The 27,861-nt window shown below is 45.5% G+C and overlaps 1 protein-coding gene across 3 annotated transcripts in view, besides 3 other annotated features; it reads left to right on the forward strand.

The window, feature by feature from the left end:
* EDARADD (EDAR associated via death domain) overlaps positions 1-27,861 on the forward strand; it is a 136,672-nt gene that overhangs the window by 102,603 nt on the left and 6,208 nt on the right. For all 3 annotated transcript variants that reach the window (NM_001422628.1, NM_145861.4, NM_080738.5), the window contains one exon: positions 17,370-17,415. In NM_001422628.1, the coding sequence (NP_001409557.1) occupies positions 17,370-17,415 (46 nt within the window). The remainder of the gene's footprint in view (positions 1-17,369; positions 17,416-27,861) is intronic.
* Positions 15,148-15,247: a silencer, noted in NCBI's record as "silent region_2003". NCBI's record gives its function as "represses an Ori minimal core promoter by ATAC-STARR-seq in GM12878 lymphoblastoid cells {active_cell/tissue: GM12878}" and the evidence as "EXISTENCE:reporter gene assay evidence [ECO:0000049][PMID:35858748]".
* Positions 20,692-21,266: an enhancer, noted in NCBI's record as "NANOG hESC enhancer chr1:236634853-236635427 (GRCh37/hg19 assembly coordinates)". NCBI's record gives its function as "activates a minimal SCP1, AML or CMV promoter by ChIP-STARR-seq in naive H9 embryonic stem cells {active_cell/tissue: H9 hESC(naive)}" and the evidence as "EXISTENCE:reporter gene assay evidence [ECO:0000049][PMID:30033119]".
* Positions 22,191-22,715: an enhancer, noted in NCBI's record as "H3K4me1 hESC enhancer chr1:236636352-236636876 (GRCh37/hg19 assembly coordinates)". NCBI's record gives its function as "activates a minimal SCP1, AML or CMV promoter by ChIP-STARR-seq in naive H9 embryonic stem cells {active_cell/tissue: H9 hESC(naive)}" and the evidence as "EXISTENCE:reporter gene assay evidence [ECO:0000049][PMID:30033119]".

Consider the following 27,861-nt stretch of genomic DNA (forward strand, 5'->3'; position numbering starts at 1 on the left):
TTTCAAAATGACCTTATGCAGAATGTACCATTATTATGCTCACTTTACACATCGAGATCCAGAGTGGTTAAATATTTGTTTAAGGTCATACAGTACTGAGTACTGATACTACTATCTTGACTCTACCCTCTGGATTCTATCACCATGGCCACTGCACAATTACCTCATATGGGCAGTGCACGCCCAGCTGAATTTTTGCGCCTATCCCCAGCAGCCAACCCCAGTTCTTCCTCTCCCAGGGGTACACAATGCAAGTCTTGACTCTGCTACTCAATACTGTATGACTGGAAACATGATGATAGAATCTACTATCTTGATTCTATCGCCATGGCCTCTGGAGCTAGATGGACCTTCTCAGTCCCTAGCTTTGCTACTTTGCTGTGTCACCTGGAGCTGGTTCCCAATCCCTCTCAGTCAGCTTTCTCCTCGGTAAAATGGACATCTTAATACTGATCTCCTAGCACACAGTAAGTGCTCAATAAATATCTGGTTAACGTTATATTTACATGAAACAAACTCAGTGGAGTATTTGTCTGTCATCCAGTTCAAAGCTTCCTTCCTTTCTTTTTTTTTTCTTTGGAAACAGAGTCTTGCTATGTTGCCCAGGCTGGAATGCAGTGGCATGATCTTGGCTCACTGCAACCTCTGCCTCCCAGGTTCAAGGAATTCTCCTGCTCCAGTCTCCTGAGTAGCTGGGACTACAGGTGCCCACCACCATGTCTGGCTAATGTTTGTATTTTTAGTAGAGATGGGGTTTTGCCATGTTGCCCAGGCTGGTCTTGAACTCCTAACCTCAAGTGATCTGCCTGCCTTAGCCTCCCAAAGTGCTGAGATTACAGGCGTGAGCCACCACACCTGGCTCAGAGTTTCTTTCCTCACCTTCAGCTCAGGCCTGATCTGAAATTTGGAGGCCTTAAAGTTAGGCGGTTGGACCTGGCTCTCTCCCTCCTCCCCGGAGATGAGAATTTGGCCACTGCACAATTACCTGATATGGGCAGTGCACTTCCAGCTGAATTTTTACACCTCCCCCCAGCAGCCAACCCCAGCTCCTTCTCTCCCAGGAATACACCTTGCACCTCTTACCTGAGCAGGTAAGAGGCCTGCGTGCTTTCCAGAAGGCACTGGTGCATGTGACCCATGGAAAACATGCCCCACTGTGCCATCATCCAGGGCGGCTCCAGCTAGCATCTTGCTTCCTCATGCCCACAGGTTAGGTCTTCCAGTGGCAGAAAGGTTGGGCCTGTGAGTACCCACAGTCCACAAGAATCCAGCTGGGGAGTGAGAGGCTGGTCCCCGCCCCTGCTGATAAGCACCCCCTAGTGGTGATCTTGACGCCCTCATCACTTGGCTTGGATGGGGCAGAGAGCAGCCCTGTTTCTCCTTATGAGCAGAGGGAGGGCAGCAGCCCCAGCTTTCACTCCTTCCGTGAATTTCTTCTAAGAAATCTCTTTCTCTTATTGATATGGTGTGGCTCTGTGTCCCCACCCAAGTCTCATCTCAAACTGTAATCCCCATGTGTCTTAGGAGGGAGCTGGTGGGAGGTGATTGGATCACGGGGGTGGTTATCCCCATGCTGTTCTCACGACAGTGAGTGAGTTTGCACGAGATCTGATGGTTTAAAAGTGTGTGGCCGATCCCCCCTCTCTCTCTCTCTTTCTTACTGCCATGTAAGACGTGCCCTGCTTCTCCTTCACCTTCTACCATGACTGTAAGTTTCTTGAGGCCTCCTCAGCCATGTGGAACTCTGAGTCAATTAAACCTCTTTTCTTTATAAATTACCCAGTCTCAGGCAGTTCTTTACAGCAGTGTGAAAATGGACTAATACACTTCTATAAGCTGAAGGTGGGGCTTGGGGCAAGGGTCATACCACCACATTTGACCCACCCTTAGCTGGTCTTGGGGTTTAAACAGCACCTCTCTGTGGAACATGTACACACCACTGTCCTCACTTGGGCCCAATCAAAACTCCTATGACACTAAAGACATCCCATCTCACATCCTCCTATAGGATGTCCCATTACAGTCTCCGCCGTATAGCTACGTAAGGGTTTCTTTATGTTTATTACGGGACTTGGAGATTGTTTCAACTATTTCACTGTTCTAAATGCTGCTTCGGTGAATGTCACGATGTGAGTACTTGCCCCCCACTCCCACATAAGGTTGTATCTTTCCTACAACTACCCTGATGTCTGTATTTGTAGACTAGACCTAAGGCTGATTGCCAGTTCGTTCTTCCACTAAGCAACCCAGAGGCACTCAAAGTCCCTTCCTAGTGATAAGTGCCACCAAATAAAAGAAATGATGCTGTTTTATCTGTTGAAAGCCTAGCAGTAACTACAGTCTTGTGCTGCATAATAAAGTTTACTGTCAACAACAGACCATGTGTACGCCAGTGGTCCCTTGAGATTCTTTTTTTCTTTTTTTTTTTTTTTTTTGAGATGGAGTCTCGCTGTCACCCAGGCTAGAATGCAGTGACATTGTCTCAGCTCACTTCAGCCTCCACCTCCCAGGTTCAAGTGATTCTCCTGCCTCAGCCTCCCAAGTAGCTGGGATTACAGGCGCGCACCACCGTGCCAAGGTTAATTATTGTATTTCTAGTAGGGATGGGGTTTCGACACATTGGCTGGGTTGGTCTCTAACTCCTGACCTTGTGATCCACCCGCCTTGGCCTCCCAAAGTGGTGGGATTACAGGCATGAGCCACCATGCCTGGCCGAGATTCTAATACCATGTTTTTACTGTGCCTCTTCTGTGTTTAGATATGTATTTACCATTGTGTTGCAGTTGCCTACAGTATTCAAGTCAGTAACATGCTGCACAGGTTTGTAGCCCAGGAGCAATAGGCTTTACCACCCAGCCTAGGTGTGTGGTGGGCTACACCATCCAGGTTTGTGTAAGGGCACTCTATGATGTTCACACAACGAAATCACCTAAGGACGCATTTCTCAGACCATATCCCCATTGTTAAGGGACACATGACTGTAATTGATTTCTTTGATATCTAACATGTCTCTCAAAAATTTAAGTTCTGCATTATGTTATACAGAATAAATGGGGAACTATCTTAGTTAATGATTGATGCTAAAGTAGCCACCCAATACATAGTGACTAGTTTTATCTTGTTTCCTCATCAAGGAAACAGAAATCTATTTCCAAGGATGCAGAGTTTGTATCTTTTTCTTTTTCTTTTTCTTTTCTTTTTTGAGACAGAGTCTCGCTCTGTTGCCCAGGCTGGAGTGCAGTGGCGTGATCTTGGCTCACTGCAACCTCCATCTCCCGGGTTCAAGCAATTCTCCTGCCTCAGCCTCCTGAGTAGCTGGGACTACAGGCGTATGCTACCACACCTGGCTAACTTTTTGTAGTTTTTTTAGTAGAGACAGGGTTTCACCCTGTTAGCCAAGATGGTCTCGATCTCCTGACCTTGTGATCTGCCCGCCTTGGCCTCCCAAAGTACTGGGATTACAGGCGTGAGCCACCGTGCCCGGCCTAGAGTTTGTATCTTCAGTGGGACACGCCCCTTTGTCTTTGACCCCTCACACACCGCCTGCACCTTCCTTTTAGAGAGCTGGATTCCTCCTTCCTCCTAGCCCCCATGCATACTCTGTCATTCAGAGACCAGGGCCCCATCTATTGTGCTTTATTTCCTAGGCTTGGTGTCATCCAGAACTAGAGCAGGGGGATGACTCGGCTTTGCTAGTCTTGACAATTTAGAAAGAGCCTGGGGCCTAGCTGCCCAGTTTGACAACTTGGCATCTTAAAGCCGAAGGGAACCTTAGAAATCACATTGTTCAGCCTCCTTGCTTTACAGATGAGGGAACCTGGGACAGTGGATGAGTAGCAGAGTTGGCCCGGGGCCTGGCCCAGCACCCCCGCCAGATGCCCAGCTTGTCTGAGTTGGTAGCAGTTGTTACCACCTGCTGCTGGGCCTCTTGCCTTGCCTAAATCTAGGGAGATATAGACTTTTCCACAGTTCTGAATGATACTCATCTGGCAGAATGGTACAGATAAAAGCTACTGGAACAAAACTGGGAGATGGAAGGGTTGCTCCTTTCCTTAAATTGGATGGAAAGGCCGTGTGTGGTGGCTCACGCCTGTAATCCCAGCACTTTGGGAGGCCAAGGCGGGCAGATCATGAGGTCAGGAGTTCGAGAGCAGCTTGGCCAATATGGTGAAACCCCATCTCTACTAAGAATACAAAAATTAGCTGGGCGTGGTGGCGGGCGCCTGTAGTCCCAGCTACTTGGGAGGCTGAAGCAGAAGAATCGCTTAAACCCGTGAGGCGGAGGTTGCAGTGAGCCGAGATTGTGCCACTGTACTCCAGCCTGGGTGACAGAGCAAGGCTCTGTCTTAAAAAAAAAAAAAATAGTGGATGGAGAGGCAGTGGGCAGAATCCCATCCAACAACTTCATTGGCTTGGCAGGGCAACCAGCTCACCAGACTCTCTGCAGACCCGAAGTCATTACATACAGTATGATAACAGGGAATGGACCCGACCAGCATTTGCTGGAGATGATATCTGGTGTCAGCCCGACAGGCCCCTACCTGCTTCTCTTGATATGCAGGAATCCCTTCAAGCTCCAACAAGATCTGTTTAATAGACTGGAGAGTCCTTTAGTTCCTTCCTCTAAGGGAAAATCAGATCGTTCTGGTTTGCTTGGTAACTCCTTACTTCATCCCTGATGGGAAGTTTATAGAATGAGGAACCAGGGCTATTACATGAAACTATAAAACTGCCTAGAGCACATACTTGGTATTTTTAACATTGTTGAGAGGGACTCACTTAATTCAGCCTTGCAGCTATTGCATTCCAGTCCAAACCAACGGCAGGTTCTCAAAACAAGCGGTGAAAGGGTTCCTGTTGCAGAGCTGTCTGGACATTAAAAGAAGGGAGAGGAAATCTCAAGGGGTCGGTTGCACTGGAATAGAAATCGCCTGTTCTTTTTTTTTGAGACGGAGTCTCGCTCTGTCACCCAGGCTGGAGAGCAGTTGCGCGATCTTTGCTCACTGCAACCTCTGCCTCCCGGGTTCACGCCATTCTCCTGCCTCAGCCTCCTGAATAGCTGGGACTACAGGCGCCCGCCACCACGTCTGGCTCATCTTTTGTATTTTTAGTAGAGATGGAGTTTCACCATTTTAGCCAGGATGGTCTCGATCTGCTGACCTTGTAATCCGCCCGCCTCGGCCTCCCAAAGTACAGGGATTATAGGCGTGAGCCACCGCGCCCAGGTGCCTGTTCCTTTTTTAAGAGTCTCACTCTGTCGCCCAGGCTGGCGTGCAGTGGCGCGATCTCTGCTTACTGCAGTCTCCGTCTCCTGAGTTCAAATCAAGCGAGAAATCACTTGTTCTCTTCTGTGAACGGAAGCATCGCGGATCTCCCTTGGCCTCACACTCCTCCATCTCCCTGATTCCTCTGTTCTTCATTTACCTACCTTCCCAGCAGTCTGCAGAGCTGGCCGCTCACTCACCTCTAGTAAGGGGATGGAGGGTCCTGTGTTGGAATAACTCACTGACCGCTAGAAAGTTAAAAATAAATGGGTAATGCCAGGAGAACTTGGCTGGTGCCTTAAAAGCCATAGAACTTCTCTTTCCATCTGTAGATAACTGTAGACAATTTTGTCCAAAACAGATAATGATCTGATTCTACCTCCCATTGGTATTTCCCTTCCTCGGCCTGTGACATCTCACTTTCTCTAGACTGAACTTTATCCCAGACTGTGACCTTGCCATGACCTTCCTCCTGCGTGTGCCTCTGCCACCACAGGAATGGCCACGCCTCAGATCATGTCACCGCTGGGAACAAACCCTCTACCCGCGACTCTGAAGTTCCCTCTCTGACCCTCTTTTCTTTCTTCCCCTCCCCCCTCCCCCTCACTCCCTCTGCACCTGTGTTTCGCTGTCACGCTCCCAACTCATCCCTGTAGAGCTGGTGAAGAGATGCTGATGTAGTTCTTGACCTTGAACCCCGGCCCTGCAGCCGTCCTGTGGCCTCACTGACCCAGCGTCATGCCCTGGTCAAGCATTTTGGTGATGCTCTTGGTGATTTTCAATGGGACCTGCCTTGCCAAGCCCGGGGCTTAGGTGAACCAGGACCACCTGCATTCTATGTTTTTGATTGCTGGAAAAAAATCATGAAATGTCAACTGTTGTTCTCATTTTTCCCACTGCCAGTTCCTGCTACCCAACCTCCGCCCTCATTTCAAGGCCTTGAGTACTTTTTTTCTATAGTGAAGTCTCCCAAAAATGATATTTTTTAAAAAAAGAAAAGCCATAGTACTCTGATTTGATGTGGTCTGTTAATACCTATGGGCTTTGACTTGTTTCTGCTTTTAGACCTAGACAAAATAAAATATCTGTGGTAAAACATATTCAAGTTTACCGGGCACGGGGGCTCACGCCTGTAATCCCAGCACTTTGGGAGGCTGGGGCAGGCAGATCACTTGAGCCCAGGAGTTTGAGACCAGCCTGGGCAACAGGGTGAAACAACATCTCTACAAAAATACAAAAAATACCTGGGCATTGTGGTGCATGCCTGTAGTCGCAGCTACTCGGGAGACTGAGGTGGGAGGATGGCTTGAGCTCTGGAGGCGGAGGTCATAGTGAGCCAAGATCGTGCCACTGAACTCCAGCCTGGGCAACAGAGGCAGATTCTTTCTCTCTAAAAAACATAAAATAAAAAAAGGCCAGGCGCAGTGGCTCACACCTGTAATCCCAGCACTTTGGGAGGCTGAGGGGGGCGGACGAAGAGGTCAGGAGATAGAGACCATCCTGGCCAACATGGTGAAACCCTGCCTCTACTAAAAATACAAAAATTAGCCGGGTGTAGTGGTGCATGCCTGTAATCTCAACTACTCAGGAGGCTGAGGCAGGAAAATCGCTTGAACCCAGGAGGCGGAGGCTGCAGTGAGCCAAGATCGCACCACTGCACTCCAGCCTGGGTGACAGAGCAAGACTCTGTCCCCCACCAAAAAAAAAAAAAAAAAAAATCAGGCCAAAGGGCAAAAATGCTTGCTTTTTAGCACTTAGTAGTTATTTCCCCAAGAAGAGCGGGAGAGAAGTTTATTAATAATGAAACTGGACAGTTCTTTATCAGCTCTAATTGTTTGACTCAATGGCTTCTCTTCTCATTACCATGCAGTGCTCTGCTGGCTGCAATGCCTTTGAACTTCACAAGAAGGTTAGAATTTCACTGAGACATTCGGATGGTGTGGGTGTCAGGGTGCAGCTCTCACACATAGTTGAGAGTGTAAATTGATACAACTTTATGGAAAATTAATTGGGAGTACCCATTCACACTCCTGTCTAGCAATCTCACTTTAAGGACTTGATCCTACAGAACTCATTACATGGTGCAAGGTTCACAGTGCGGCATTCAAAATAGAGAAGAGCTGCGGGTAACTCCCATGCCCGTTGGCAGGAACTGGTTGAATAAATTATGGTGCATCAGTGCTGTGGGGTATCATTAAACCATTAAAAAGAAGAGAGAGTCCTGGCCTTAAAAAACTTATCTGATGTATTGTTAAACAGATAAAGCAAGTTGTAGATCAATATGATTTGGGGCTAAAAAAATATTTCTATATAGGTGTGAACATGGCCATGACTAAGGAATCAGGAAGGAAGTACCTAGATTGTAACCAGTAACATGTGGGGAGTGAGATGGGATTGAGAGACGTAATAATAGATTGAGAGAAAAAGATTTTCCCATCTCTTTTTGATTTTTTAAGAAAACAGCATGATTTTCAGTAATTTTTACTTTTGTGTGTTTTTGGTATTTTTTCTTTTTCTTTTTTTTTTTTTTTTTTTGAGACGGAGTTTCACTCTTGTTGCCCAGGCTGGAATGCGATGGCCCAGTCCCAGCTCACTGCAACCTTCACTTCCCAGGTTCAAGAGATTCTCCTGTCTCAGCCTCCCGAGTAGCTGGGATTACAGGCCCCTGCCATTACGCCCAGCTACTTTTTGTATTTTTAGTAGAGATGGGTTTCACCGTGTTGGTTAGGCTGGTTTGAACTCCTGAGCTCAGGCGATCTGCCTGCTTCAGCCTCCCAAAATGCTGGGATTACAGCCGTGAGCCACCGCCCCCAGCCGGTATTTTTTCAAATCAAAGAAAAAATAATAGAGTAAATCATCCAAAACTTTAGATGGTATTTAGACTCAGTAAACTTTTCATATATGACAGATGAAGCCAAATGGTCTTTCTGTGCAGTCAGCTAGCACACAATTGTGCACCCGAGGAAAATTAGAGACTGAACCGGGGTGTCTGTGGATGCATTTCCTCAGCATTCAGCCTTCCTTTTGCCCGTGTTCTAGCATTACTTCTGTCCTACAGCCTGGGATTTGTGAATGAAATAGACAGGTGCAAAAACTCCCTGCCTGTCTGTAATATCCATAGCCCCGTGCTCTACTTGTATTTGCATGTACAAACCATAATCTCCTGTAAAATACTCTGTGATATTTCTGAATAATAATAAACTCTACATCCTACACAAAGGCAAAACCCCTGTATCTTTCATCTTTGAAACCATAGCAAAGGTATGAAATTACACCTGAGCATGCCTGGCCTCAAAGTCCTGGAACGGTTATGTCTTTGACCCTCACTTCAACTCAACTCCAGAAGAAGCAGGTCTTCCTTGTAATTGGATAGAAAACTCATTGTAGAGAAGAAAGATCTACAGGTCAAGAAACCCACAGGTTTGCTGTAATCCGAGCAAAGCACTGTAGCATTTATTTTATATTTTCACTCTTCTTATTTAGCTCTTTTTTTTTTTTTTTTTTTTGAGATGGAGTTTCATTCTTGTCACCCAGCCTGGAGCAATGGTGCCATCTCGGCTCACTGCAACCTCTGCCTCCCAGGTTCAAGTGATTCTCCTGCCTCAGCCTCCTGAGTAGCTGGGGTTACAGGCTCCCACCGCCACACCCAGCCAATTTTTTGTATTTTTAGTAGAGACGGGGTTTCACCATGTTAGCCAGACTGGTCTCAAACTCCTGGCCTTAGGTGATCCACCCGCCTCAGCATCCCAAAGTGCTGGGATTACAGGCGCACCGGCCTTAGCTCTTTTATCCTTAATGAAATGCTCCTCATTCCCTGAGGTCTCACTTGAATTCTTGCCCACCTCTGGGTTGCCTTCCTCTTCTGTCTGTGCTTTGTAACACGTGGTTCCTTATGATGTCAATATTTATGCATATGTCTTCATTCCATTACTGGATTATAATCTTGAAGCAACAGATTTTTGTCTCTATATCCCAGAGCCTAGAATGGATTCTTACACTGGGCAGTAAGTACTTAATAAATGTATCCCAAATCAAATAAATACATTTCTTCTTTTTCTTTTCTTTTTTTTTTTTTTTGAGACAGGGTCCCACTCTGTCACCCAGGCTGGAGTGTAATGACATGATCTCAGCTTACTACAGCCTCAATCTCCTGGGCTTAAGCAATCCTCCCACCTCAGCCTCCCACATAGCTAGGACTACAGGCGCTCACCACAACACCTCATTTTTGTATATTTTTTGTAGAGATTGGGGGATCTCACTACGTTGCCCCGGCTGGTTTTGAACTTCTGGGCTCAGACAATCCACCCACCTTGGCCTCCCAAACTGTTGAGATTACAGGAATGAGCCACCATTCCCTGGCCAAATACATTTCTAAAAGCCAGTTTCTGGAGTATACTGTCAAATAATAGATATATGTCCACATTTTTATACGGACTTATATTGTAAGAAAAAGTAAAAATAAGTGTGAAGTTATTACAGTAATAGTAATTATTTTGCAGAAAAAGAACTGAGTTTAAACAGGCTTTTTAGAAAAACCCAACAGGAGATTCACAGTCTGGTACTAACGTTTAGACATGGATCATCAGTAAATGTGTTCCAAAGAGTTACACAGATACCAGCTTTGTCTTGGGAATTCTTACCCCTGAAAATTGATTGACTATCACTGACTGTGTGACATGAGAAAGTTTTGTGGGGTTTTTTTTTTGTATTTTTTTGAGACGTAGTCTTGCTCTGTCACCCAAGCTGGAGTCCACTGGCGCGATCTTGGCTCACTACAACCTCTGCCGCCTGGTTCAAGCGATTCTCCTGCCTCAGCCTCCAGAATAGCTGCGATTACAGGCACCTGCCACCATGCCCGGCTAATTTTTGTATTTTTAGTAAAGACGGGGTTTCATCGTGTTGGCCAGGATGGTCTTGAACTCCTGACCTCAGGTGATCTGCCCACCTCAGCCTCCCAAAGTGCTGGGATTACAGGCATGAGCCACCGTGCCCAGCCTGAAAAAGTTTTGAACGGTCTAAATCCATATGCTGTGAATCCTATTACCATCACACACTTAGGCATTTAAAATCATATTTTCAAGGCCAGGTACTGAAATATTTTCTGCAAGCAGAGAGATCAAACTTTAGCATTGTTATTCTTGTAGTAGTTTCATAGTTTGAGGTCTTAGATTTAAGTCTTCCATTGATTTTGATTTGATTTTTGTATATGGAGATAGGGGTCTAGTTTCATTCTTTTGCATATGGATATCCAGTTTTCCCAGCACCATTTATTGAAGAGACTGTCTTTTTCACCAGTGTATGCTCTTGGCACCTTCGTCAAAAATGAGTTCCCTGTAGGTGTGTGGGTTTGCTTCTGGTTCTCTATTCTGTCCCATTGGTCTAAGTGTTTGGTTTTATGCTACTACCATGCTGGTTGGTATAGCTCTGCAGTATAACTTGAAAGCAGGTAATGTGATTCCAAAGAAGCTAGTTAAGTAATTGAGCTAAACTGGAACCTCAGGTGTAGAAGTCATAAGCGTGGGGAGCGTTTCTTCTCAGGTTCTCTGCCTATAATTTAGTTTGCCACACCAGATGAACAGTGACAACTTGGTCTTGGTGTTCGTGGTGGTTTCCAACCAAACTTTGGTCATAACAGGTGAACCAGCCTGGGGCATGCTTTCCCATTCGGTTATCCTCCCCATAGTTTGCAAAGTAGCAAAGATGAACTCTTCATGAGTTGGCTAAGCATAGACATTTCAAGACCAAACTAAACGTCCTGAAGAGCATGTTTCACATTAAACTAGCCCCTAAGGGACCAGTGGGGGCTGTCAGAGAACAAGGTTTCAACGTACTGAGTTTTAAAGATCTAATTGGCTTTTAATAACAATTCATGAACCAGGCACCATAGTCTACAAAATAGACAGGGTTTCTGCTGGGCACTGCAGGACAGTTGGTTTTTGGAAGGTGGCTTGAGCAGGAACAAGGAAAAAGCACCGTGCCAAGAGTGGATTGGTTAACATCAGGGGACTTCGGGTGACTTTCCTTCTATGGGTTAAAGCAAAGGGGACTTCCCTAGCATGTCAGCTCAGGTTGACTGGGCCCCTTTGGATTGGTTGCTGTGAATCTCCTAGTTTTTTTTGTTTTGGTTTGGTTTGGGTCTTTTGGGGAAAACGGGCCAGTTTGGAGATTCAGCTATTATTTCTCTCTCCTGATATCAGAAGATCAGATCTTATGAGTACACAGCTGAGGTTTTGGGTTGGTGATGTGGAACCCTGGTGTGAGTGACTCCATTTTGGGTTGGTCTATTGGGGTCTCGGTGCAGGAGCTCAGTCCAAATCAGTGGCCTCTCCTCATTTTTATTTGACTTCTCCATCAATCTATCCGTGTCTCCCGTCACATCAGTCCATTCCCCCGTGGGCTGCACATTCAGCTCGGAGCTGAGAGCTTTTCCCAGGGTGTGCCCTGGGGTTTCTGCTGCTTGCAGCCTGATATTAAATCTCAGGTGTAAATCTTCAGAGGCAACTGTTCCTTAGTACCCAGAGCTTTCAGCTCCCTGAGCAGAAATGGGACTTGACTGTCAGTTTATAAACTAACCAAGGTGTGAAATTCATGCAACTTAGCCGACTTTCTGTTCAAAGAATTCTTGGCAGCAGTTAATACATTTTGCCCAAATATAAGATAATTCCCTTGTACTCACAATGAGAAAGTTTTACAAAATGGGGGTTTTCTTTAGTTTACTTGAATATAAAACATAGGTGTTCCACTCTGCAGTACCTTAACAGTTCTTAAGGAGATGTTTGAAACAACCCATGTCCAGGCCTCACACCTCGCCAATTAAATAAATGAGAAGTTCTTCCCAGCCAGTGTTAAGAAAAATTAACATCAAGTTTTAGGAAGGTAGACAGATTATGCAAATGCATACCTATATGATTTAAGTTATTACATTAATTTACACACACATTTAAAATCATAGATTAATCTAATTTAGAGATGCTGCATTTTTTCCATCTCTCCTGTTTCATAAATGTTATTCACACGGCATTTCTCTGCTATCCTCGGAATAGTGTTTGTATCGTGTCACTCTGGCACGGGGCTCTACAGAACATGTCGAGCGTGTTGCCTTCCCTACTGCCCACATCGTTTGAGAGAACACATTTTAAACATTTTTTTATTGTGGTAAAATACACATAACATAAAAGTTACGATTTTAACCTTTTTTAACTCTGTCATCCAGGCTGGAGTGCAGTGGCGAGATCTTGGTTCACTGCAACCTCCGCCTCCTAGGTCCAAGTGATTCTCCTGCCTCAGCCTTCCGAGTAGCTGGGATTACAGGTGCACACCACCACGCCCGGCTAATTTTGTATTTTTAGTAGATGCGGGGTTTCACCATGTTAGCCAGGTTGGTCTCGAACTCCCGACCTCAGGTGATCAGCCCGCCTCGCCTCCCCAGTGCTGGGATTACAGGCGTGCGCCACTGTGCCGGGCCCATTTTAACCACTTTTAAGTGCACAGTTCAGTGGCATTAAGTATATTCGCGGTGTTGTGCGACCGTCACCACCATTCACCTCCAGAACTTCTCTGTCTTCCCAAACTGAAATTCTGTACCCATTGAACGGTAACTCCCCATTCCCCATTTCTGCTTCCTAGGCCCTGACATGGAGGCTGGGCCAACGGATATCTCACCTCCCTTCAGGCTTCTCCAGATTTGCCCCCGTTTTTCTCCCTCTTTGTCCCATCTCCAAAGAAATGGTGTCTTTTCATCATCAAGGTCCATCCCTTGCTCCTTGAATACACTCCAGGCCCAGTGGAACAGGCATCCTGTGGGGTGCACGGACAGGGTGCCTGGGGAACACCCAGGGCACAGAACCCAGACCGGGGGTTTGGAGAAGGTGTCCTAGCAGAAGTGATGTCTAAGCTGAGGCCCTACAGATAAGAGAAAGTAAGCAGATGAAAGGGCTGGGGAGGGTGGCATTTCAGGCCTACACAACCACACGCGTGTTCTTCAGCCATCTCCATGGCCTCACTGCCCACCTGGTATCAGCCGGCCACCACCCGGCTAGAACGGCTTTCAAAATCGCTGCTCGTCTACTCCTCACCAAATCTTGTCTTCACTTGGTGCTCAGAGCCCATCACCTTTCTGCAAGTATTATTTTTTTTTTTTTGGAGATGGAGTCTCGCTCTGTCACCCGGGCTGGAGTGCAGTGGTTCAATGATAGCTCACTGCAACCTTGAACTCCTGGGCTCAAGATCCTCTTGCCACAGCCTCCCAAAGTGCTGAGATTACAGGCACAAGCCACCATGCGTGGTCCTTGCTGCAACTTTTTTTTTTTTTTTTTTTTTTTTTTTGAGACAGAATCTCGCTCTGTCGCTCAGGCTGGAGTGCAGTGGTGTGATCTCGGCTCAATGCAACCTCCGCCTCCCGGGTTCAGGTGATTCTCCTGCCTCACCCTCCTGAGTAGCTAGGAACACAGGCGCTCACCACCACATCCAGCTAATTTTTGTGTTTTTAGTAGAGCCGGGGTTTTGCCATGTTGGCCAGGCTTCTCTCAAACTCCTGACCTCGGGCGATTGGCCCGCCTCGGCCTCCCAAAATGCTGGAATTACAGGCATGAGCCACCGTGCCTGGCCATTTGCTGCAACTTTTGACACTGCTCCCCCTGCTTTTCTTCCCCTCTCTGACCTCCTTTCTCTGCTGTCCTTTCGTTCCTTCCTCTGCCACTGAAGTGTCCTTCTCAGGTCCTTCTCAAGGTTGTGACCTTACAGCTGTCTCTTCACTTCCAGTCATTTCTTTCATAATCACTTTGACATCCTTATTTTCATCTCCTGCCCTGGCCTCTCCCAGGGACCAGGACCATGCATTCAGCTCCTGGGGGCATCTCAAGCTTGTTGTGTGTGAGCCTGCCCTTGTTGTCTTCTCCGTCACCTCTTCACAGCTTGCTCTGCATTTCACCTCCTTTCCTGTTTTCCCCAGTGATCGCATCTCTACAGCGGCTCTCACTTCATCCCCTTCTCTCCTAGAGGAGTGATGCGGAGTCTCATTAATCCTTGCTTATGTCATTCTTCCCCCTTCTCTGTCCATCACCTCCACATGTCCTGTTCCCCCATGCGTCCTACACTGTAGCCAGGTGGGTATTTCCTGTGCTGGTCTTAGACACCCCCTGAGGATACCCTGCTTCAGGCGAGAGCCCCTCAGTGACTCCCTGTTGTCCGGAATGACGTCCAGCTCCTTGGACAGGCCCCAGTGTATTCACCTGTCTCATCTCCTTCTTTTCGTTTTGTTTGTTTTTCTTAACTTCCAGCCCGATTTCTGAATCATCTCCCTCTTGCCCCTCCCATTGCCTTTGCTTAAGACTAAATGCTCCTTCCTCCCAAGTCCCCACTGCCCAGATTTCAGCAGGGTCCATCTCAAACATGTCTGTCTCCAAGAAACTGCCTCTGATTTTTTTCATAAGAAGACACCTGTCCTCTCTGACTTCATCTGTACCCCTCTCTTGGAAGTCACTATCTTGTGCCTTGCATTTTCGTTGTTTAAGTGGTCTCCATTTCCCAGCATATCTTGAGGTCAAGGGTTCAGGTCATTTTATCTTTGTCTATGCATTGCAATATGGGGGTTTTTACATATTAGCTGCTCAATAAATCGGTGTTGAATAAAGGCATGTGTATGCTTTCATTAAGACTATGAAACCCACAAAAATCAGTGGTTTTCCTATTTCACCCTTAGAAAACAAACCCACAACATAGCACAACCTGATAATCAGAGCTAAGAACAAACATCATGCATATTAATCTAAATTCTATCTTTATCAACTTTCACAAGTAATTCGTATTTCCCTGTCTGCATCACGGGGATGATTCTGGCCAGACATTGACCTTGGTAAAATTTCCTCCAGATTATGAGAAATCAAGTCAAATATGCCAAGTAACATAGTTTCTACTTAGAGTCAGGTTCATGTTTTAGCAGGAACCTCAAATACCACAAAATCTGTCAAGTTCTAACATTTGTATCTCTCGACAGTACCTGAAGTTCCTGTTTCTGTTTCCTCAGCCCAGGTTTCCAATTCAGTGAGCAGAACGGTGACTGTGTTGGTAAAAGAGCCCACATACCTGCCCGATCCTGCAGGAGTGTTGCAGATGCAAACAGGCGGGTCTCCACATGACCTGCGGAGTAATGACTAGTGTCCCTAAAGTCATGGGGCTTCTGGGGTTAGCCTTGAAAAAAGCTAAAGGTTGCATAGAGAGAGATTTCTATCCGTTCAGAGACTCACTATAATTCTCTCTTTCTGTCTCTGTCCTTCATCTGTTTCTCTCTTTCTCTCTCACTCTCTCTCTCTGATAAACACACACACACACACACACTCACACTCACACACTCCTGAGTAAGGGAAATGTGAGAAGAAGGTAAAACTTCAACTAAATGAAAAGAAATTGTATGAATTATGGTAAGCAGGTTGGTTTTTAGTTCCAGTAAAGATAGAAATATTTAGATTACTTAGGAGAAAAGTCTAGCTGGTAACACATGGGAATGTGCCTGTGTGAAAACAAAACAAAACAAAAAATCTAGGCTTGTGGTTAGGTGAAGGTATGTACACTGCTGAGACATGGCGATGGGTGAGCTTGGGATGAGGAGAAAGGCTTCTCTGAGAAGATTAAGAGAGAAAGATTGTTTAAAAATGTTTAAAACATGCTGGGCACTGTGGCTCACACCTGTAATCCCAACACTTTGGGAGGCCAAGGTGGGCGGATCATGAGGTCAGGAGTTCGAGACCATCCCGGCCAACATGGTGAAACCCTGTCTCTGCTAAAAATACAAAAATTAGCCAGGCGTGGTGGCGGGTGGCTGTAGTCCCAGCTACTTGGGAGGCTGAGGCAGGAGAATGGCGTGAACCCAGGAGGCGGAGATGCAGTGAGCCGAGATTGTGCCACTGCACTCCAGCCTGGGCGACAGAGCAAGACTCCGTCTCAAAAAAAACAAAAAAACAAAAAAAAAACACACATTGACACCAGGACGGAGTTAGCACATCTTTACAGGTGAGACTCTCAGACCCGAGAAAATAGAGGCACTTTAGAGCTGAGCTAATCCCACAGCCACCTCAACACACAAACGGGGAATCTGAGACCCGCATTGGCACCGTGCCTGAGGTTCTAAAGCCCAGGGCTTCTGACTCGCCTCTTGTGCTTCTTCAGTACTGTGGGTGGGGGTGGGGTGGGGGGTGACATTAGCTGATGAGAAAGATTTTGGTTTTAGAAAGATGGAGTTAACATAAACGAAGGTGTACTGGGACTGGTCTCCTCTGCTGACTTCATGGGAAGCACACACACGCGCACACACACACACACACACACACACACACATACACACACCTGTCCAAGATCAGAAAAAATCCCTCACATCCCTGTAGCATGATCCTGATTGTAAAAATGGAGCCCTAATCAGAAGGGCAGAAGCATGATTGCCTCTCAAGAGATTTGGACGCCACTTTTTCATAGTTGGTTTTAGCTGCTTTGCGATATATACTGAAATAAATAGAAAAGGGAAAGAATTGTAACCTGGATTGACAGACAACAAGCCCTGACAGACAAAAAGCAGATAAGAAATAAAATAAGGAAGATAACCCATAATGTAAAATAAAAATAGCACATTGTTGCATGCATTGATACCCTTTTTTTTTTTTCTTTGAGATCTTGCGCTGTCTTTCAGGCCGAAGTACAGTGTCTCAATCATAGCTCACTGCAGCCTCCAGCTTCTGGGCTCAAGCAATCTTCCCATCTCAGCCACCCAAGTAGCTGGGGCTGCAGGCACGAACTATGGTGCCCAGCTGATAATTTTTAAAAATAGGGACATTAGTGCATTTAGCAAATTTGAGTGTCTGCTGTGTATCAAGCACTGTTCTGGGCACTGGGACAGCACAGGGAGCAAATAAACAAAAGCCCCTGCGCTCAAGGTGCTCGTATTCTAGAGGGAGATGCTGAGTTCACCTCCCATTAAAATGCCATTCTCAAGATCCAGTCCCTCCACCCACCCCAGCCCCCAGGGTTTTGGTGGAAATTTAACTAAGTTGGAAGATTGATAATATCTCCATTCACATTTGGATATGATTTTAATGAAGGTTGCTTTTTGGTTTTTAGGGAGAAGAAAATGGCTTTCCAGATAGCACTGGAGATCCTCTTCCAGGTAAATGATTGATTCTAAAGCTATCTGGGCTAATAGCTAGTGTGGCTGAATAAAAGATAATTTGAGGCCAGGGTCGGTGACTCATGCCTGTAATTCCAGCACTTTGGGAGGCCAAGGTGGGCGGATCACCTGAGGTCAGGAGTTCAAGACCAGCCTGGCCAACATGGTAAAACCCCGTCTCTACCAAAAATACAAAAATTAGCTGGTTGTGGTGGGCGCCTGTAATCCCAGCTACTCGGAGGCTGAGGCAGGAGAATCGCTTGAACCCGGGAGGCGGAGGTTGCAGTGAGCCAAGATCACACCACTGCACTCCAGCCTGGACAACAGAGCGAAACTCCATCTCAAAAAATTAAATTAAATAAAATAAATAATTTGAGACTATGTTTATCATTAACTTTAAAATCTGTACTGCAGAATAGAGCAACTTTCTACCTGCGGTGCACTGCAGGGAAAGCCGTATCTTACAAGACTTCACAAAAGCCTTCAAAGAGTATTTTCTCTGCACTAACCTTCCTTTGCATGTGAGGGGCACGGCAGGGTTCTGAATGGGGCAGGTTTAGGATCAGGCCAGTCGGGACTGAGTGGATTCTTCTTCCCTCTGAGTTCTAAGAGCCATAGCATTGGTGGAGAACATGCTGTTTGTTGCTTGGTGGAAGGGACCAGAAGCCAGCTGGGTCATCTCTCTGTTTGTGCCTTGGCCACTTAGGTAGCCAAAGGAGCCCTCCTGACATTAGGTCAGGTGTTAGTCCCTCTCCTTTTCTGCTTTTAGTGTGTTTAAGCAAATAAACATTAAAGTTCATTTCTCCCCGCTCCCCTTTTTTAATCATAAGACAGACATGTTTGCAATGTTTAAATTTCTCATTAATCAGAAGGGATAGGGAGTGAGGGAGTAAGCATTAAAATAAGCTAGCAAATGGCCAGGTGTGGTGGCTCACACCTGTAATCCCAGGACTTTGGGAGGCCAAGGTGGGCAGATCACTTGAGGCCAGGAGTTCAAGACCAGCATGGCCAACATGGCAAAACTCCATCTCTACTAAAAATACAAAAATTAGCCAGGCGTGGTGATGGGCACCTATAATCTGAGCTACTCGGGAGGCTGAGGCAGAGAATTGCTTGAACCCGGGAGGCAAAGATTGCAGTGAGCTGAGACTGCACCACTGCATTCCAGCCTGGGTGACAGAGCAAGACTCCATCTCAAAAAAATGCTAGCAAAATAATAATAATAATAATAATAAAACATACCTCACCAACATTTTCTACATCTTGTAAAGCATACATTGACTGACTGAAGTCACCAGAGTTTTGTTTCTTTCTTTCTTAAGCAGGGTGGGGAACCCGTAGAGCCCTCAGGGGCAGCTATCATCAGCCCAGGTAACCAAGCTGAAAAACCAGAAGGTGCAGTGCGTACTCAACTTTTTCCCCTTAGAAACACGATATTAGAAAATACACCAATACCAACATGTGAGCAACAGTTCTCTCTGGAAGGTGCAGTTCTGGGTGATTTTTTTTTCATTCCATAGATTTTTTTTTTCTTGAGACGGAGTTTCGCACTCTTGTTGCCTAGGCTGGAGTGCAATGGTGCGCCACCACGCCCGGCTAATTTTTGTATTTTTAGTAGAGACGGGGTTTCACCATGTTGGCCAGGCTGGTCTCGAACTCCTGACCTCAGGTGATCCACCTGCTTCGGCCTCCTAAAGTGCTGGGATGACAGGTGTCTCACTATGTTGCCTAAGCTTTTCTCGAACCCCTGAGCTCAAGCCTCCTCCCACCTCAGCCATCCAAAGTGCTGGGATTACAGGCATGAGCCACCACGCCTGGTGAGTTTTTATTTTCTTTCCACTATCCTATATTTCTAAAATTTCTAACATGAGCTGGTATCAGAACTGCCCCTCCGCATTTAATCTGTGTATACAAATGTATATATAACAAATGATCACATGTTGGTAAGTATACCTTGCTGCATGGTGAAATAACCAAGGAAACTTCTAAAAGGTTAACTGTGGTTGGCCTGGGTAATGGGAGCATTAATTTTTTCCATATGCTCATCTGAATTTTCAGATTTGCTATGACAAGCACATATTTATTTTCTAATTTTAAAAATCTATATTTAAACTCTTTAAAGACTAACACCCTACACACTAATGTGGCACGTTAGCTAAAATAAAAATAAATACAGAAATTTGTTTAGAAATATTTGTAAACCCTTCAAGGACTCTTCTGAATGATAGTCATTATTAATTAGCAGGTTAATTTTAATCAGGCTTCTGGTCATCTTCAAACATTTTTTACTTGTGTCAAAATGAACCACCAGAGTGTGGGTTTTTTTGTTATTTTTTTTGTTTTTTTGAGACAGAGTTTCACTCTTGTTGCCCAGGCTGGAGTGCAATGGCGAGATCTCGGCTCACTGCAACCTCTGCCTCCTGGGTTCAAGCAGCTCTCCTGCCTCAGCCTCCTCCTGAGTAGCTGGGATTACAGGCGCCCACCACCACACCCAGCTAATTTTTGTATTTTTAGTAGAGATGGGTTTTGCCATGTTGGCCAGGTTGGTCTTGAACTCCTCACCTCAGACGATCCACCCACCTCAGCCTCCCAAAGTGCTGGGACTACAGATGCACACCACCACACCCGGTTAATTTTTGTATTTTTAGTAAGGACGGGGGTTCCCCATGTTGGCCAGGCTGGTCTCAAACTCCTGACCTCAAGTGATTCACCTGCCTTGGCCTCCCAAAGTGCTGGCATTACAGGCCTCCGCCACCGCACCCAGCCCAACCTGGGTCCTTTTGTATGTGAGAGTTTGCTTGTTTTTTTCACGTGCTTTCTCTACTCCAGTTTTATTCTATGACAAAATTGAGGCCCAACATGATTTACTTGCCTGGATCCACCCAACCTGTCAGTTACTTCCCAGTGCTGCTGCCAACTTAATGTCTCCTTAAAAGGATGCTTTAGAGAAAACGAAATCATGTTGTTTTTCCCCTTTGGTTAAGAGATCAAACGCCCACCAAAAGCCCTTGGGTCAGTTTCTTAGTAGATAAAAATAATTCTTCGTCACTTTCTGAAAGCGGCTAACATATAACCCTTATGATGAATAATGTGGTGTGTGTGTGTGTGCGCGCCCCAAATTCCAATGAGTTATCAAAGCCAGAAACTTATATTTTAAATATGTTTATTTCCCAACCACACTGGAAACCACACACAGAAAAAAAAAAAAGCATGATTATACCCCCTTAATAACCGTTACTGCAGAAGGATGTGACTCTCCTTCAACACTTGTTGGTATTTTACAGCCTCCAAATCTGACCATGTATAACCACCTGGGATAGAGTTATTTTATTTCAGAACCATAATACTTAGCTATCTCGGAAGTTGCCAATATAAAATGTTTACTCTCTAATGGTTTTGAACTAACTCAAGACCTGGTTATCCCGGGGAGCATCCTTACAAATGATCTGAGAGCTAACAGTCCTCTTGCAGCAGTGGAGGGAAACACTCCCGTGGCAATCACTCTCCAAAAGCCAGAATGTGCAAGATAAAAGGGCACCTTCCCTGCAGGGAGGCACATTAAGTCAGTCTGTGATCTGCTGCCAACATCCTGACTGGAGCCGTTTCTACGCCTAACTAATCATGACGTTTGTGAATTGTGAAGCTTGTTGCAATTCACAATTAACTGTTAATTGACCCATATTTTATAACCCGCCAGCCATGAACTTACAAGTTAGATACAGACACTACCAGACATTCACTATTTTTTTTTACAATTGTTTTAAATGACATTAATGAGCATGCTTGATTCCTGAACTCTTCTTTACAGTATAATTTTAAAATATTTGAGTGGGATACGATGGAGAGGAGGGAGGTGGGGGAAGAAATGCCCCATGGAAAACCCACTCATCAGGTTGAGAGTGTGGAGAAGCCCTGTGTATCTGAGAACTCTTAATCATCCACAGACATGGTATCTCTCAAAGAGAAGTGGGTGTAATTCCAAAATCTAATTTTGGCAGGCGCTCCTGACTAAATACTTAATCTGGAGATGTCTTCAAGGCAGGCGGAGGTTTTCAGTCCTGGCTGCACATTAGAAGTCCCAGGGGAGCTTTAAAAAATTCCCACGTCCTCCCTGCATCCCAGACTAATTAATCGGGATCTCCGAGGGTGGGACCACACATCAGGGTTTTGTAAATTTCCCTGGGGGTTTGGTGGGGTTGGGGGTGGAGGCGTCTATCCTATGGCCAAGGTTGAGAACCACTGCTTTTTAAAAGACTGTTTGCTTGTTTTTGAGATGGGGTCTCGCTCTGTCACCCAGGCTGGAGTGCAGTGGCGCAATCTCAGCTCACTGCAACCTCTGCCTCCTGGGCTCAAGCAATTCTCCTGAAAAAGGCTGTTGGTTATTAATGCTTCCCCACAGCTATTCTATTCATTGTTGCATGCTTCTTACGTGTGCTAGGATGGGAGCTTTAAAGGATTACCTCATTTAATCCTCACAACCACCTTGTGAGAGAGGTGTCATTATCCCTGTTTGGAGAGTGAGACAGGGGCTTAGCAAGCTCAGTAACCTGTCCAAGTCACACATCTGCATGGGGTTAGCTGCTGCTAAAGCTCATGCCGTTAATCTCCATGGTACACGGTGTCCTCTCCATAGCAATCTTGCGGCTGCCTTGTTAACACCAAAAAAACTTGCATCAGCTGGTTTGACAATTTCTAGATAAAGAGCTCTTTTCGGGCTGCTAAGAAGCCTAATTTTTCATTTGATTTTCTTCTTGAACTGTGTCACACTCCTCATTCATTTGATATATTCATCAAATACTTATTGAGCACCTGCTGTGTGCCTGGTGTGCAGCAGTGACACCAGACATCCAAAGTCCTTTTCCTCTTAGAGCTTATTCTATCTGGGAGAGACAGATAATAAACACAAAATCAGTAAGTCATTTTATATGGTGGTAGGTGCCTTGAGGAAGATGAGCCAGGTTAATGGGATTAAGCCTGGTAGGGGGAGGGTGCCACTTTAGCTCGGAAAGGGTAGCGAGACCCAAACAATGCAAAGGACCCGGCCCGTGGAGATCTAAGACAGGAGGATGCCAGGGACAGGAAGTTGCTGGGGCAAAGCCCCTGAGGCTGGACTGAGCTCAGTGTTCTAGGACGGGCGTGGGCAGTGAGGAGCAGCAGAGGAGGTGAGCTGGGAGATAGCCTGGGGACTCTTTCTTCTGCCTCCTTCAAAAAATAAAACTAGCCAGGTGTGGTGGCTCACACCTGTAATCCCAACAATTTGGGAAGCTGATGTAGGTGGATTGCTTGAGTCCAGGAGTTCGAGACCAGCCTGGGCAACATAGTGAGACCCCTCCCCCATTTCTACCAAAAAATCAAAAAATTAGCTGGGCCCGGTGGCGTGCGCCTGTGGTCCCAGCTACTCAGGAGGCTGAGGTGGGAGCGTTGTTTGAACCCGGGAGGTGGAGGCTGCAGTGAGGCGTGATTGTGCCACTGTACTCTAGCCTGGGTGACAGAGTGAGACTCTGTCTCTAAATAAATAAGTAAATCTAGAACCTAACATCTTGGAGTGCAGTGGCACCACCATGGCTCACTGCAGCCTCAATCTCCTGAGCTAATCGAGCCTCCCCTTCAGCCTCCTGAGTAGCTGGGACTATAGGCGTGCACCACCATACCTGAATAATCAAAACCTAACATCTTTAAAGAACATTGGCATAAGACTTGGCAAAAATGGCATCTTGTCCCTCATCTCATTTAGTCCAAGCGATACAGGAAATGCTGCCACCTCCATTTTATAGATGAGGAGTCTGACGTTCCTAGAGGTTCAATGCCCTGAAACGTCAAGCCTTGAGGAAGTTGGAGCACTGGGATTCGAAGAGCACCATCCAATACAGACCCAGAATCAGGATGATTTGGGATTATGCTTGTCAAGGACTCAGGGCAGGGCTACCATACATTAGGCACAAGAATTTTGATAGTGATAATTACTGTGTTCATTGTCACTTCATCATGACAGTTACCGTGATGATAAGAAACCTGGCCCTTCTTCACCTGACAAAGGCTTTCTTCGTTTGAGCCACTGCTCAAACGAGACTGACCAAGAATAAATCCTCGGGGCTTTGGCCTTTAAAATAGGAAGTCATCATAAATGACTTGATGTGGTGTGTTTCATTCTTGCTTTGCACCAGTGGAAAATATACAGGTCAAGCATCAAAACATGGCAAATGGGGACCCCAATTATTAGAGAATCTAAGTTAATTTTTATGTATAATTAATTATTCAACAACCCTCTCCTCTCCAAACCAATAATTAATCCATCTTTTGTATTTTAAGACCAATTCTGTAGTATTTTCCATCAATATCTATTTACTGCTAGCAGATATCAGCTACATTCTTTCTCCTTTAATAGAAGTTCCCTCTTTAGGTATTAAGATTCATTAAACAACAATAACAAATCTACCTTGCCTCCCAGGGACAATGCACAGTTCTCATTCATTTGTTCATTTAGCAGATAATTTTTGAATTTCCACTGTACAGCAGCCCTGTGCTTGTGGTTGGCCTGTTATTTGAGAAGCATCAAATAATAATCTCATTTTTTGGCTGGGTGTGATAGCTCACGCCTGTAGTCCCAGCACTTTGGGAGGCTGAGGCGGGTGGATCACTTGAGGATGGGCGTTGGAGACCAGCCTGGCTAACATGGTGAAACCTCGTCTCTATTAAAAATACAAAAATTAGCCAGGTGTGGTGGCAGACACCTGTAATCCCAGCTACTCGGGAGGGTGAGGCAGGAGAATCGCTTGAACCTGGGAGGCAGAGGTTGCAGTGAGCCGAGATCGCCCCATTGCACTCCAGCCTGGGCAACAAGAGCGAGACTCCGTCTCAAAAAACAAAACAAAACAAGACAAAAAAAAACCCAACAAATAAAATAAATAATCCCATTTTTCTCCATTTTTGAGAAAGATTTCTTTGGTCTGAAGTCTTTCTCTCCCCTCTCCGAGGCATTACCCAGTTTAACCTTTCATGTATAATATATATGATAGTTATTTAAAGTATAGCAGGACAAAATGTATTTGATAGGAGAAAACCTTGTTTGCTCTGTGTTAAGTCCTCCAGAGAGCTAATTAGAGTTTGTGATTCTAAAAGGCAACTATAGATTCACTTATATTAGCAGTTCATGTAGATTCCAGTTAAGGAAATGGTTTGTCACTTGTGTTATTGAAAACACACACAGGGCGAGCACTGTGGCCCATGCTGGTAATCCCAGCGTTTTGGGAGGCTGAGGTGGGCAGATCACGGGGTCAGGAGTTTGAGATCAGCCTGGCCAACATGGTGAAAACCCGTCTCTACTATAAATACAAAAAATTAGCTGGCAGTAGTGGCAGGCGCCTCTAATCTCAGCTACTCGGGAGGCTGAGGTAGGAGAATCGCTTGAACCCAGGAGTCGGAGGTTGCAGTGAGTCGAGATCGCACCATTGCACTCCAGCTTGGGCAACAAGGGCAAGACTCCGTCTCAAAAAAAAAGAAAGAAAACACACACACAAAAAAACTTTAGTAGATCTTTCGGCATATTATTTTTTAAAATAAACTGATAATGGTTGATATGATTGTTCAAAGAAATAAGAGCTTTTCATAAACTCAGTTTAAAGAAACTTTACAGGCCGGGCGCGGTGGCTCATGCCCGTAATCCTAGCACTTTGGGAGGCCAAGGCGGGTGGATCACCTGAGGTCAAGAGTTCGAGACCAGCCTGGCCAACATGGTAAAAGCCTGTCTCTATTAAAAAATACAAAAATTAGCCAGGTGTGTTGGCTGGCGCCTGTAATCTCAGCAACTCAGGAGGCTGAAGCAGGAGAATCGCTGGAACCTGGTAGGCAGAGGTTGCAGTGAGACAAAATCGTGCCATTGCACTCCAGCCCCAGCTGACAACAGCGAGACTCCATCTCAAATAAATAAATAAATAAATAAATAAATAAATAAATAAAGGAGCTTTACAGAAACCTTCTGATGTTTTTTTCTTCTTGACGATAACATTGCCAACACTGAATCTTACAAAGATAAGACAAGAAAGGGACCTTCAGACACCATTACATGTAATTCTGGACTTAGTGGTTTAAATCCTTATTTTTCTATGACATTAAAAAAATGTATATTTTAGGCCAGGCACAGGGCTCACACCTGTAATCCCAGCACTTCGGGAGGCCGAGGCAGGTGGATTGCTTCAGCCCAGGAGTTCAAGAGCAGCCTGGGGAACATAGTGAGACCCCTGTCCCTACAGATTTTTTTTTTTTGTTTGAGATGGAGTTTTGCTCATGTTGCCTAGGCTGGAGTGCAGTGGCACGATCTCGGTTCACTGCAACCTCTGCCTCCTGGGTTCAAGCAATTCTCCTGCCTCAGCCTCCCAAGTAGCTGGGATTACAGGCATGTGCCACCACACCCGGCTAATTTTGTATTTTTGGCAGAGACTGGGTTTCTCCATGTTGGTCAGGCTGGTCTTGAACTCCCAACCTCAGGTGATCTGCCTCCCTCAGCCTCCCAAAGTACTGGGATTACAGGCGTGAGCCACCTTGCCCAGCCTACAAAAAGTTTTAAAAAATTAAAAAATTAGTTGGGCATGGAGGTGCATGCCAGCTACTCGGGAGGCTGAGGCAGGAGGATTGCTTGAGCCCATGAAGTGGAGGCTGCAGTGAGCCATAATTGCAGCACTGCACTCCAGCCTGGGCCATAGAGCAAGACCCTGTCTCAAAAATATATATAGTATCCAAATAAACACAATAATTACAGAAAATTGAAAAGTGCCCATAAGCAAAAAAAAAAAAAAGAAAAAATTAATCACCTGCGTTCTCATCACCCAGAATTAACCATTGTTAATATTTTTGTTATAGATCCTTCCAAACTTTTCTCCATGCTTGTGATTGTATTTATTATACATGATTTACAGGGATATAAACGACTGTATTATTAGTCATTAGAAGAACTGGATTATGGCCGGGCACGGTGGCTCACACCTGTAATCTCAGTACTCTGGGAGGCTGAAGTGAGCAGATCATGAGGTCAGGAAATCGAGACCATCCTGGCTAACAGAGTGAAACCCCGTCTCTACTAAAAATACAAAAAATTACCTGGGCGTGGTGGCAGGCGCCTGTAGTCCCAGCTACTCGGGAGGCTCAGGCAGGAGCAGAGATACCTATCTGTTCTCAGGATTTTAAGGTGTTGCGCGGAAATAAGAAAACCGTACAGTGTTTCTCACTACAAAGCAGGGTCAGGAGATGCAAACAAACTGATGTGGGGGTTCCAAGTGAGGTGGAATTCCAGACAGGGGCCGGGAAGACTTCGTGGAAAGGGAGAATCTGAGGTGGGTTTTCTAGGATGGGTAAAGTTCATTAGAGGAAGAGAAGTGCAACAGAGGAAGTTCGGTGAGAGGTAGAGGGAAGGCGTTCTGATCATGAAGGAAACACTAGAAAAGGTATGGAGATAGAAAAAGATAAGGCCTGATTTTTTAACCTACCACTTAAAAAAAATCCTTGAAAAGAGATTTTTAAAACGAATACTTGGTGCTGACAAAGGTGAAATGACCGGGCGCGGTGGCTCACACCTGTAATCTCAGCACATTGGGAGGCTGAGGCGGGCAGATCACTTGAGCTCAGGAGTTTGAGACCAGCGTGGCCAACATGGCAAAACTCCATCTCTACTAAAAATATAAAAATTAGACGGGTGTGATGGTGGGTGCCTGTAGTCCCAACTACTCAGGAGGCTGAGGCAGGAGAATTGCTTGAACCCGAGAGGCGGAGGTTGCTGTGAGCTGAGATTGTGCCACTGCACTCCAGCCTGGATAGCAGGATGAGACTGTCTCAAAAAAAGAAAGAAAAGGAAAGAAAAAAAAATCCGTACTGTAAACTGGTAAAGGCTTTCTTTCTGGAGAGCAATTTGGGGCACATGCACCAGTAGCCTTAGAAGGCTCATGCTTTTGACCTAATTATCCTATTAGTGGTGAGATGATTAAAGATGTGGCCCCAATTTATGTGAAAGGTATGCATCACATCTTCACTCATAATCAGGAGAGTTGGGGAAAACCCTAGCTGTTAATAGTTTATCCAAAATCCATATATATATGTGTGTGTGTGTGTGTGTGTGTGTGTATGGATTTATATATATATATAAATGGATATATATATATATCTGGATGGATATATAAATATGATATATATATGTGTGTGTGTGTATATATATATGTGTATATATGTATATATATATGATGGAATACTATTTAGCCATAAAAAGGAATGAATTAATGGCATTCGCAGTAACCTGGATGGACTTGGAGACCATTATTATTTTATTTTATTTATTTATTTTTGAGACGGAGTCTCGCTCTGTCACCCAGGCTGGAGTGCAGTGGCTCGAGCTCAGCTCACTGCAAGCTCCACCTCCCGAGTTGACGCCATTCTCCTGCCTCAGCCTCCTGAGTAGCTGGG

The sequence above is a fragment of the Homo sapiens genome, chromosome 1 (assembly GCF_000001405.40).
Source record: "Homo sapiens chromosome 1, GRCh38.p14 Primary Assembly".
Classification (NCBI taxonomy): domain Eukaryota; kingdom Metazoa; phylum Chordata; class Mammalia; order Primates; family Hominidae; genus Homo; species Homo sapiens.